At 48.1% G+C, this 12,817-nt stretch overlaps 1 protein-coding gene across 2 annotated transcripts in view, besides 2 other annotated features; it reads left to right on the forward strand.

Annotated features, from left to right (window-relative positions):
* The window catches only part of PDZD2 (PDZ domain containing 2), a 471,802-nt gene that overhangs the window by 29,568 nt on the left and 429,417 nt on the right, over positions 1 to 12,817 (forward strand). The gene's annotated exons all lie outside the window — the stretch shown is intronic.
* Positions 11,528 to 12,046: an enhancer, noted in NCBI's record as "H3K4me1 hESC enhancer chr5:31680333-31680851 (GRCh37/hg19 assembly coordinates)". NCBI's record gives its function as "activates a minimal SCP1, AML or CMV promoter by ChIP-STARR-seq in primed H9 embryonic stem cells {active_cell/tissue: H9 hESC(primed)}" and the evidence as "EXISTENCE:reporter gene assay evidence [ECO:0000049][PMID:30033119]".
* Positions 12,047 to 12,564: an enhancer, noted in NCBI's record as "H3K4me1 hESC enhancer chr5:31680852-31681369 (GRCh37/hg19 assembly coordinates)". NCBI's record gives its function as "activates a minimal SCP1, AML or CMV promoter by ChIP-STARR-seq in primed H9 embryonic stem cells {active_cell/tissue: H9 hESC(primed)}" and the evidence as "EXISTENCE:reporter gene assay evidence [ECO:0000049][PMID:30033119]".

A 12,817-nucleotide genomic window follows, 5' to 3' on the forward strand; every position in this document is an offset into this window, starting at 1 on the left:
GCTAATGATAGACTAGGGAAAACAAAATAATTCAAAATCTGCAATGAATGCTTGGTTATTTCCAAAGGGCCTGCTTTTTAATGAAGTGCAGTAAATAATGAAGAATAAGAGGGGAAAAAATGTAGAAACAGCATCCCAGGAGTTTCTTGGTGGTGTTGTTTTTGTTGTTTTAATAAAAATTAAAATAGACAAACCAAGGCAAGGGAGTAGCATTGACCTCCACTCCCAAGTGGGGCTGGGGCTGGACCTCAGGGCTGGATCCTATCTGTGGGTCACTGGTAAAAGCAAACCTCCATTACTGGGGTTCTCTGCGATGGGTGACTTTGCCCCAGGGGACACTGGCAATGTCTGGAGACATTTTTGGTGTCCCTGGGGGTGCTAAACATCTAACAGTGCACAGGACGTCCTCTCTTAACAAATAATTATCCAGGCCATGCGTGTTGCTTTATGCCTGTAATCCCACCTGTCTGGGAGACCCAGGAGGGAGGAACACTTGAGGCCAGGACCAGCCTGGGCAGCATAGCAAGACCACCTCTACAAAAAAATTTTAAAAATTAGGCAGGGGTAGTTGCATGCATCTGTAGTCCCAGCCACTTGGGAGGCTGAGGCAGGAGGATCACTGGAGCCCAGGAGTTTGAGGCTGCAGTGAGCTATGATTGTGCCTCTACGCTCCAGCCTGGGTGACAGAGTGAGACCCTGTCTCAAAAAAAAAAAAAAAAAAAAAATAAGATCTATCCAGCCCCTAATGTCAATGGTAGGGAGAAACTCTGCTTCCTGGCTGCCCCCTGTCCTGGCCTCATCTCCCGTGTGGATTGGCTCTTGCCACACTTTCCTGGGAGTTATTTCATCTCAAAGTGAAGCCTGCAAGGGGCCTTAACATTATCTAATACTAAGTTTTACTGATAGGACTTGCAGGACTTCACATAGATTGAATGGCTTTCCAAAGTTCACAGTAACAGAGGTGGGATCAATCAACAGGAAAAATTATTAGGAGCATTTGTAAAAGAAGAGGCTTTACAGGCTTTTTACATTCTACTCTTGGATGCTTACTTTGCTGATGCTTACAAGAACTGTTTGTTGAGTGTCTGTTACCATCTATCTGCTCTGCTACCATCTATCACCCGAAGAAACATGAAGGCTGTCTTAAATGGGCCGTAAAATAATAATAATAGTAATAATAATGTTGAGAACATTTGCTGAGTGTTTACTCTGAGCCAGGACTATACTAAACCTTTTAATAAATCCTGGATCTCATTAAATCCTCTCCACGACCCTGCAAGCAGGCACTATTAATGTTCCCATTTTACAGGTGATAAAACTGAAACGCAAGGAGCTTAGGAAGCAGCGGGTGAGGAATCTGAGCCTTGCTCTTCTGGATTGCAGAGCGGGCACTCCTAACTGCTAAGCTCACCCCTTTTCCTCCCTGATGCTTAGCAATTCAGTTGTTCCTGTAGTTAGGAGGCATTGTTTTCAGGGTGTTTGAACCTAAACTCAAGGAGAAGAAATGTACATACATCCTTCTGGCTCACACTGCTCAGGCCATCAGTGGGGTTTTTGCCAGTGTTTTGGTTGCTGCTGGTTTTGGATTTTTCAGTCATATCAGGACTTTAGTTTGACTTCCACAAATACTTTTGGTGAAGATTTACTGTGCCCAGGAGGTAGCTAAACATTGGGGGTTCAGCACTGAGCAAAATACTTGTCTTAGTTTGCGTTTATTTTATTTTATTTTATTTTATGAGATGGAGTCTCGCCCTGTCGCCCAGGCTGGAGTGCAGTGGCGCGATCTCAGCTCACTGCAACCTCCGCCTCCCGGGTTCAAACGATGCTCCTGCCTCAGCCTCCCGAGTAGCTGGGATTACAGGCACCCGCCACCACGCCCGGCTAATTTTTTAAATGTATTTTTTAGTAGAGACGGGGTTTCACCATGTTGGTCATGCTGGTGTCGAATTCCTGACCTCGTGATCCGCCCGCCTCAGCCTCCCAAAGTGCTGGGATTACAGACGTGAGCCACCGCGCCCGGCCAGTTTGCGTTTCTTTTAAAGCAGACCTTGAGATGAGGATTTGGGGTAGGAAGTTTGCTTGGGTACAGAAATGAGGAGGAAGAGGGAGGTAACAGAAAAGGGAGAGAGCTGACAAAGGGTGTGCTCATGAGGCAACTGCGGTGACAGCCAGGGCTCAAGCCCTCTGTGGATCGCTAAGAGTCTATGTGGAACACATCTCAGAATTGCCCCACCAAGACCCCTGGACTCAGGGTTACCTATCAACTCCCACCCTTATTCCTTCATTGGGTGCAGGTTGCTTTTGGGGGCACGATTCCTTGGTACCTCCCAGGCCTGAGAGCACCCCCAGGGAGAGAGGCAGAACTGTCCTTAGGTGATCCAGGCAGGGTGGCTTGGGAGCTAGGACCACGATGTCTGCTACAATCCATTCCTACTCTCGAGGAACTCTCAGTCCTGTGGGCCAGGAGGATTCACAGAAGTCAGTCACAGTACAGTCAGACAATGGGAAGATAAGTGCAAGGAATGGAGTACAACCAAAAAGAGATGATGATTTCATCAGGGGCATTAAGGAGGGCTTTCCAGAGGAGGTGACATAGAAAGGGTAAGAGCAGATTGAAAATAGTTCCCTGTTATCAACGTCTTCCTTATTCTCACTGCTAGGGCATAGTGTGTGTAACGCTGTGTCCATGGTTGCTGGCATTTGTTGTCTGAGAGCTTTGAAGGCTTCTTTTCCTGTGCAATGTCATGTCAGGACACTCCTGTGGTCAGCATCAGGACTGGGAGCTGGCGTGCTGTGCTCATAGCAGCGGCACAACCTCTAAGCCATTGTCCTTGAAGTTGTGTCTCGAAGAGCCTGGTGCCAGTCCCACGGCCCCCCACATGCACTAGTGCGGCCCTCCTTCACATTCAGATCATGGTTGCTCCTGCTGTGAAATCTTGGGCAAGTGGCCAGCCTGGCTGAGCCTGAGTTTCCTGATGACTATCCAAGGCCAGGCACCCGCGGCCTCCACTAATGCTTCTCAATGCAAAATTCGAGAAACCAGAAAGCCTGCATGCAGATCACATGGAGAGCTCGTTCAACACCGATTCCTGGGGCCCACCCCTGCAAAGGCTCTGAGTCTGTAGTTATGCGGTCAGGTCTGAAGCTTTGCATTTAAAGGGCTTGCCTCTCTGCTGAAGCTGCTGGTCTGCAGTCCTCACCTGGAGGGGTGGAGCTCTAGGACCTCTCCTCAGTTCTCTCCTGGATGTTTTCACCTAGATCAGGGGATTCTCAGCATTAGCAATTCTGATGCCTGAGGATGGATAATTGTTGTGGGAGCTGCCCATGGACAGTAGGAGGTTTAGCAGCATCCTTGACCTCTACCCACTAGGTGCCATTAGCACCTCCCAATAGTGATGACCAAAAATGTCTCCAGACATTGCCAGGCATACCCTAGGAGGCAAAATCACTCCACCTCGAGAACGACTGTCCTAGATGTTCTGGAATACTGCTTCTCAGACTTGAATGTATGTAGGAATCACCTGGGGGTCTTGTTAAAATGCAGATTCCAATCGGTAAGTCTGGGGAGGGGCCTGAGAGTCTGCATTTCTGTTGCCCTCCTCGCCAAAGCTGCTACAGCCAATTGGTGGGTCACCCTCTGAGGAGCAGCAATCTACACTCCAGTGGGTGGTATGCTTTGGCTGGACCCAAAGGCTCAAAGGTGTACCTGCCAGTGTGGGATTTGGCCAGTCCCTCTAGTTCCCTCTGATTCCCCCAGGCTAATGGAATCCATGGCTGCTGCTTCTCTTCCCCTGCCAACCCCACCTCCAGCCCAGGGCCTCCTGCCCCACTTGTCCAGGGAGAAGCTAGCCTTCCTTTCAAAAGCGACAGGAAGTCAGTGTTCCTTCAGGGTGCATAAGGATCTCTCGGGCCCTCTCAGTACCCAAATAACCCACTTTGGAGTCTAGTATTTTTTCTTTACTCAGAATTTCTAAAGAGGAAAATAGGAGGAAGGGCACCTTCCTTATGGACAGTGACAGGCACAGGTCTGCCAACCTGAAATTCTAGGAGGTTTAGAGGAAATTGTCTCTGTGCAGTAGGGTGAGCAGGTGGTTCTCAGAGACAAAGAAGAAGCAATTATGGAACATGAAGGGCCTAAGGCATATGGGGTTGGACAGAGCGGGGGCTCCCTTTACATAACACTGAACCCCAGGAATTATTCTGATAACGAAACACTTTGTAGACTTCTAGAAATGCTGTCACTTTGCCCATTGTTATTTTTAGCCATTGTTTCCTTATTGGGAATAGGAAACATTCTTAGGAGACCTTTTTTCCATGGTTTAGTGAGAAGGTTTGAGATACTACGGGGAAAGAAAAGTGGCTACTGCCCTGTAGAGCTCCTGTACGGAAGGTACTCAGGTGTGAGGAAAGGGGAAGGGGCAGCTGACCTCTAAAAGTCAGTGGCAGGGCTCCCCTGGGACATCTCAGGTGGGAACGTGGGCTCTTTTCCAGAGCGACACGCTTCCCTCTGACCACTGGTTCTGTGGGGCTGTGAGGACAGGCCCGCCCTGCACAGGACAGTTCTGTACTCTGCACAATACAGAGTGAGTATGTATGTGTTGATGTGAGGGAGTCTTCCCCATTTCATGTTTGTATGGGGGAATGCACTGCGAGCTCCAAAATGCCAGCTGTTACTTTGGGACAAGTCACCTGCCTGGACCTGGGATGCCATGTTTGATAAGTCCTACCTAGAACAAGAGGTTATGGCTCCTTGGTTTTCCCATAGGAAGGGTGTGTGTGCATGAGGTGAGTTGGGGAAAGATTGGTGTGGGATAGAGCAGATGGGGATTAGTTAGTGCTACAAACTGAATGATTTTGTCCCCCAACTTTATATGTTGGAACCTCAGTCATCAATGGGATGGTATTACGAGCTGGGGACTCTGGGAGGTAATTAGGTCTCGAAGATAGAGCCCTCACAATGGGATTACTCCCCTTATAAGAAGAGATACTAGGCAGGGTGCAGTGGCTCACACCTGTAATCCCAGCACTCTGGGAGGCAGAGGCAGGTGGATCATCTGAGGTCAGGAGTTCAAGACCAGCCTGGCCAACATGGTGAAACCTTGTCTCTACTAAAAATACAAAAATTAGCTGGGTGTGGTGGTGCACACCTGTAATCCCAGCTACTCGGGAGGCTGAGGCAGGAGAATCACTTGAACCCGGGAGGCAGAGTTTGCAGTGAGCTGAGATCACGCCACTGTACTCCAGCCTGGGCAACAGAGCAAGACTCCGTATCAAAAAAAAGAGAAAAGAGTTACCAGAGAGCTTGGTTCCTCTCTCTCTTCACCATTGAGGTCATAACCAGGAGGAGAGCCCTCAACAAGAACTGAATCTGCCTGAGCCTTGATATTGGACTTCCCAGCCTCCAGAACCATGAGAAATACATTTCGGTTGTTGATAAGCCACCCAGTCTACAGTACTTTGTGATAGCAGCCCAAGTGGACTAAGCCAGTCAGGAAGATGGCTTAGACCAACAGGCTTCAAATACAGTCTGTGAAAAGACAGGTACCGGTCAGCAGTGAAGTTTCAGTCTAGTGAGAAATGAGAAAAATCGAGTCAAGAGAGTGACTAATGAGTAAGCTAATTACTCACTTTAAAGAACAGAGCTTTATGCTACACTTATGGCCTTTCTCCTTTGGAGGAACTTGAACTGTCTTGTCATTAATGAGAGTATGGTGTTTCTCAATGATATTTATTTAGTATCTTTATTAGCCAAAACCAAAAACACTTAGAAATAGTTTGGTTCCAAAAATAATTTGTAAAATGTTTATTGGCCTGTGAAAGCCAGATGTCTAGAAACCGCTGAATTGGGCAATTAGAACAGTGAAGGCGCAAGATGAGAGCAGTCTGGTCTTGGGTGGTGGCTGTAGGAGGGGAGGGAGGACAAGATAGAATTTTGTGGCTGACTGGATGCCTCTGAATCTGGGCGACTGAGAGTGATGATGGGACCTTTTATGGAAATGTGTAAGTTGGAGAGGGAACAAGTCTGGGGACAAATGAAACACTTGGGAGTCATAAAACATGAATGGCTGCTCTTTGTGGCGGGTATGGTACTGTGAGCTCTATTTTCCATTATTTCATGTAATCAATGTGACCGCCCTTCCAGGTGGGGGCTGTTGTTGCCTCGGTGTTACAAATGAGGGCAGAGAGAAGGAGAGGCACATTGTCCTCTGACCCAGGGGGGTGGAGGACTCAAGTGTGGGACTGTGGGATCACGAAGCCCCAGAAGGCACCAGATCCCTGTTCTGTGCTAACCACCCTGTATGTGGGAACCGGGTGCTGTGGAGTGGATGGGATCTGAGGAGAGAGGATGGAAAGGATGAGAACAGAGCTTAGAGTAAGAAAATATTTGGCTGGGGGACCCAGAAACCCTCAGATCCTGTCTCCTATCAGCCAATCCTCTAAAAGATGATAGATAACAGGGTCCACAGAGGGCATTGGCTGGCAAGTGGGACCATTTATTTCTGGGCACTTTTGCTCTCATTGTGCAGCTCTTTGCGTCAGTGTTGGAGGTAGGCTGAAGCCCCAAAGCTGGTAGGCTCGTGGGCTCCTTCTCCCCGCTCCCACCCATTTTCCAAGTCTGCCCTGAGTTCTGGATCTTACAGTAGGAAGGAAAGGCTGTGCTGGCCATGCCCACCAGCAGGAAGCAAAGCTTGTGGAAAGGCCTTTGGTAAGATGGCCTCAGCTGCCCAGCTCAGGGCTGCTCAGGCCCTGTCTGCGTTGGCTGCCAATCCTATCAAAGGGATAATAATAATAATAGTAGCAATGATTTTGATCTAGGCATTGTACTAAGCACTTTGCATGGAATAGAAAAAATGCTCCAAGAAAGAAACAAGCCAGAAAAGCAGTTGTTCCAGAATAGGTGCCCTTTCCACTAAGGCCTTGCACTCCAGAATCACGTGGCCCAATCGATGTCTTACATTCTATCAGTCCTTATCAGCATTCTTATCCCTTGAAGGACTTTTTTATTTTTTTATTTTTAGACGGGCTCCCACTCTGTCACCCAGACTGGAGTGCAATGGAGTGATCTTGGCTCACAGCAACGTCCACCTCCTGGGCTCAAGTGATCCTCCAACCTCGGCCTTGCAAGTAGCTGGGATGGGACTATGGGCACGCACCACCATGCCCAGCTAATTTTTCTATTTTTGGTAGAGACACTGTTCTACCATGTGGCCCCGGCTAGCCTCAAACTCCTGGGCTCAAGCAATCTGCCCTCTTAGGCCTCCCAAAGTGTTGGGATTACAGGCGTGAGCCACCGTGCCCAGCCTCCTTGAAGAACTTTGAATTCCTTACCCATAAAAACTTAGTTGAGCGCTCTATGTGTTCCCAATTCATCACAGGAAAGGAAAATGCCTATTTTATACTCTTAAGTTTATCCTTTGAACAAACATTGGACTGGCCATGAGTTAGCCTTAAGCTTTTTTCATTCATTCATTCATTTATTCATGTATTTATTTATTCATTTAACAAGAGCTCATTAATCACTCAGTGTAAATCCACAGCGCAGAGGGTGAAATAAACAAAAGTGTCCAGTATGATCCCTGTATTTCAAGCACTCATAGGTCTTAACCTACTTGAAAAGACAGAATGCACAGGATTCAATGGACAGCACTCTTGTTCTGACACATACACCGAAGGCCTCAGAGGTCAGAAGGAGTGACAAGTGGACGAGAGGGACTGAGAGAGGCAGCATGCACTTGAAATAGACTTGAAGGCCAGAGAGATTGGGGTATGATGGAGATTGTGGGGAGGGCAGGAAGAGACATTGTAGGAAGATGAGCAGAAATATAACAGCAAAAGAAAGGGACTTGTAGAACAATTTCTTTGCTTTCTCTTTTTTTTTTTTTTTTGAGACAGAGTCTCGCTCTGTCACCCATGGCATGATCTTGGTTCACTGTAACCTCCGCCTCCTGGGTCCAAGCGATTCTCCCTCCCTCAGCCTCCCGAGTAGCTGGGATTACAGGCATCCACCACCACGCCCTGCTAATTTTTGTATTTTTAGTAGAGACAGGGTTCACCATGTTGGCCAGGCTGGTCTCCAGCTCCTGATGTCAGGTGATCTGCCCGCCTCGGCCTCCCAAAGTGCTGGGATTACAGGTGTGAGCTACCACGGCCGGCCCTGTAGAACAATTTCAAGTGACTCGTCTAAGGCATACGGCTTCCCCAGAGGAGATTTTTAAAAAGGGGGGTTTGGCTTTGAGGACTGCTTTCCCCAAGGCCAGAGACATGGCGGATCCTATTCCTTCCCCTGCCAGGTGACTTAACTCACTCCCTTGTTGTAGGCCTTTGTGTCCCCTCGATAGGGTCAGCCCTATGAAAAAAGGATGAATCTACCTAGGAGCAAGGCCCTGCTTGGGGAAAAACAACCAAAATGAAAAGTGGTTCATGGCTGATAAGAGCTGAAAGCTTTGAAAGCTTCAGTTGCCAGGAAGGGTTGCATTACTGTCAAGCCGAGGCGGTGGGGAATGACAGCGGATTATTGTGTCCTGCCCTCCCTAGCCTTGCACTGGGTTTCAGGGGAGCTTCTGGGACAAAACCATTCGAGAGTGAGACCCTGTCTCTAAAAAAAATTTTTATTTGTTTAAAAAGGAGGTATATCCGGCCGGGCGCAGTGGCTCACGCCTGTAATCCCGGCACTTTGGGAGGCCGAGGCGGGCGGATCACGAGGTCAGGAGATCGAGACCATCCTGGCTAGCACGGTGAAACCCCGTCTCTACTAAAAATACAAAAAATTAGCCGGGCGTGGTGGCGGGCGCCTGTGGTCCCAGCTGCTTGGGAGGCTGAGGCAGGAGAATGGCGTGAACCCCGGAGGCGGAGCTTGCAGTGAGCCGAGATTGCGCCACTGCACTCCAGCCTGGGCGACAGAGCGAGACTCCGTCTTAAAAAAAAAAAAAAAAAAAAAAAAAAAAGGAGGTATATCCATGTGATGGAGTACTATTTAGTGATAAAAAGAAATGAGCTATTGACACATGCAACAATGTGGATGAATCTCAGGATCATTATGCTGAGTGAAAGAAGCAAGACAAAAAAGAGTACATACGGCATAAATGCACTTATATATAATAAAATTCTAGAAAAGGCACGCTGATCTTTAGGGGTAGAAAGCAGACCAACGTTTAGGGGGTCGAATGGGGATGGTAGGACAGCAGCAGAGGAGGAAGGGGGGAGGACCAAGGGAAGGGAGGGACTTTGGGGGCTAATGAGTATGTCCGTTATCTTAGTTGTAAAGATGGTTTCATGGATAATGATGGTTTTATATATAACCATATGTAAAGATGGTTTCATAGGTTAAAAGTTAGCAAACCTGTATGCTTTAAATATGTGTGGTTTATTACATGTCAATTATACATCAGTAAAGGTCTTTATAAGGACTCCAGACATGGGGGACAGATGGTCAGCGAGCATTTCCCTAGGGCAGGCCTTGTGTGTTGCAGGTTGGATTCCTGGGGAAGCCAGCTTCTAGTGAGAATACCCTGGAGGAAGCTCCTGGCCAGTACCCATGTGATGAGACCAGCTGCAGTGCATCCGCCAAGGACTCAGCCTACTCCCACTCACCCCAGAGCTCTGGGCTAGCACAGCCCTTGAGAGTTGTGATCTGAGATCCAAGGCTCTATGTCCCTACGTTGGAAGCAGCAGCCGCTGAGGGGAATTCCCTGAGAGAGCTGGCACCTGAGAGCCTTGTGGTGCTACTTCTGGAGCCTGGGGACAGTCAGTTCTGGTGGGGGACGTCTGGAGCCTGGGGACAGTCAGTTCTCAGGGACAGCTGGAGCCTGGGGACAGTCAGTTCTGGTGGGGGACGTCTGGAGCCTGGGGACGTCAGTCTCTAGGGTGATTCATCACAGCACCCCCTACAGCCTGGGTGTTTTCAGTGGAATTTCTTAATTAATTTATTTATTTATGAGACAGGGTTTCTCTCTGTCGCCCAGGTTGGAGTACAGTGGCACAATCTCGGCTCACTGCCTCCTGGGCCCAAGCCATCTTCCCACCTCAGCCTCTCGAGTGTCTGGGACTATAGGTGCTCGCCACCACACCTGGCTAATTTTTGTATTTTTTGTAGAGACAGGATTTCACTATGTTGGCCAGGCTGGTCTTGAACTCCTAGCCTCAAGCAATCTGCCCACCTTGGCCTCCCGAAGTGCTGGGATTACAGACAACAGCCACCATGCCCAGCCTATATTTCTTTTTTTTCCCCCCTTTTTAATTATGTCAAAGGGAAAAATAGCTAGGGTCCCACCTCATTAGGTAATTCTCCCCACTCAACTACTTTTTTTCTTTTAGACACTTCGTGATGTCAAAAAAATTTTCCCTGCCGGACTATTTGGGGAAGGGCGGTATGGGCAGGATAGTGGCCTCTGACTACAGAGCCCCCCTCCACTGAACTGACCAAGGAGAAAGGCTCTCTGTTTTGTGGGAGACACTTCTCAGGGTGTTATCTTCATAGTAAGATGAATTGACAGGTGCCTGTTCTTTTCCCTGCCCTTGACTGAAAGATCCATGCTGGATTGGCACAGATTCCAGGCTTCCTTATGGAAAGCAAAATATTCTTTCGCTTTTGCGAAGCAGCTTCTGCATAAAAATATTTCCAGTAGCTTATGTTTTCAAAAGGTTCCCTCTCCAAAGCTGAGGATTTTAAAAAGTGGGTTGAAAGGCGTGGTCTCTGAGGAGGACACTGAGTTTCCCTGCAGGTATCTTGTGGGGCATTGTGATCTGAAAAGATGCTTCTTGTTGTACTGTGTTGTGGTGTGTTGTGTTGAGTTGCATTTTTTATTTTTGTTTTATTTTTATTTATTTTCGAGACAGGGTCTTGCTGTTGCCCAGGCTGGAGTGCAGTGGTGCCATCTTGGCTTACTGCAACCTCAACCTCCCAAGTTCAAGTGATTCTCCTGCCTCAGCCTCCCTAGTAGCTGGGATTACAGATGTGCACCACCACGCCCGGCTAAGTTTTGTCTTTTTTTAGTAGAGACAGGGTTTTGCCATGCTGGCCAGGCTGGTCCCAAACTCCTGACCTCAAGTGATCTTCCAGCCTCAGCCTCCCAAAAGTGCTGGGATTACAGGCATGAGCCACCATGCCTGGCCTGAATATCAGATTTTTGAAGGTTCCCCCTGGAGGTTAAGTTTCTTAGATCCTGTAGTATTGAGACTATGTAAACCTAGGGTTATTAAACTCACCTTCCAAGTGTCTGTGGAATGCCTAAACTTACATAAAAGCACACAGTTTGTAGAATTTTGTCAAATCTTCGAACACCACAGTCCTCAAAATGTTTAGCTCCAAAAGGTTTAAATGCATCTTCTAGAGCATTTTTCTTGGATATCTGATATGGAATTATTTTATATTTATAATGCCTCGCATTCATGAAATGATTGAGAAGTCTTGTCAAGTCCTCACTCATTCATTTGCTCTTTAATTCATTCATGGATGGAGTAGGTGTCACCAGAAAACTGAATGGACGGTGGGCTCGGGGAGGACAAGGCCCTCGGCTGATTGTCACAAGGATCTGCCTGGGTCCTAGGGGACAAGTCTGATGGTGACTCTAAGCTTCCCTTCACAGAAAGGCTCTTGTCAGATGGAAGGATGGAGCCGGTGGGGAAATGGCAAACTTTTGCTTGGTAGACATTGCAAAAGAAAGACTTCCATCCATCTATCTGATCAGAGAGGAAATTAGAAGGGTTCTGGGCTCAAATAAAATTTCCGAGACCAACTGCTAATGAGAGGTGAGGATGGCTGGCTGTGGGATTCAGCCTCCTAAGATTTGAGGAGGAACTTCGCACTTGGGAAGCCAATTTAAAAAAAAAATACTCCTCATTTATGCCAGCCTCAGGAAGCTAAGTCTTCCTCTGCTGCCTTGAGGGGCTGGAATCGACCTGCATGTGGCTCCCGTTTCTGTGGCCAGACCCTGGTGGTGAACACATTTCAGGCAGCCAGAAACAGGCTTGTTGTGGCTCTGCAGCCAGACCTGCCAGCCTTCTCGTCAGGACGTGCGAGCTTAATTATTCCACTGCCCTCTGGAAATGATGCCGGCTTGTCCTTGAAATCCCTGACCGGGCGCCAGGCCCTGCTGGATTTGTAGATGCTTCCTGTTGTGGGTGCACGGAACCTCTGCCCAGCCCAGCAGCTTTTTCCCTGCAGCTCTGAGAGATGCCTGCCCCACAGCAACGGCCGCAGATCTAGCTTGTGCTTCCCTATACGGCCTTGCCCCTCGGACAATTGCTGACTGTGGACACCCATTCTGGGGACTGGCCAGATCTGAATTCCTTCCCAAGATCCCCCCACCTACCCCCACCCAACTTTCTTGTCCTCAAGTCAACACCTGTAAAATAATTCCCACCATATATGCAAATAATTTTGCTTTTTCCATGAATGGAGACCATTGCCAGATATCACTAAATGCTTCTGAATATGGGGCTGCAACTTGGATGGAAAATTACTGTTTTTTTCTTTCAACATGTAATGAACATTAAAGGCTTATGACTGTTGATTCATCAATACTTATAACATGTTTTATTTGTTTTTGTTTTTACTTTGTTTTGTTGAGACAGAGTCTCACCTTGTTGTCCTGGCTGGAGTCCAGTGGCACAATCTCGGCTCACTGCAACCCCCGCCTCCCAGGTTCAAGCAATTCTCATGCCTCAGCTTCCCGAGCAGCTGGGATTACAGGCATGTGTCACCATACCCAGCTAATTCTTTGTATTTTTAGTAGAGACGAGGTTTCGCCATGTTGGTCTGGCTGGTCTTGAACTCCTGACCTCAAGTAATCCACCAACCTCGGCCTCTCAAAGTGCT

This window comes from Homo sapiens, chromosome 5, assembly GCF_000001405.40.
Source record: "Homo sapiens chromosome 5, GRCh38.p14 Primary Assembly".
Classification (NCBI taxonomy): Eukaryota; Metazoa; Chordata; class Mammalia; order Primates; family Hominidae; genus Homo; species Homo sapiens.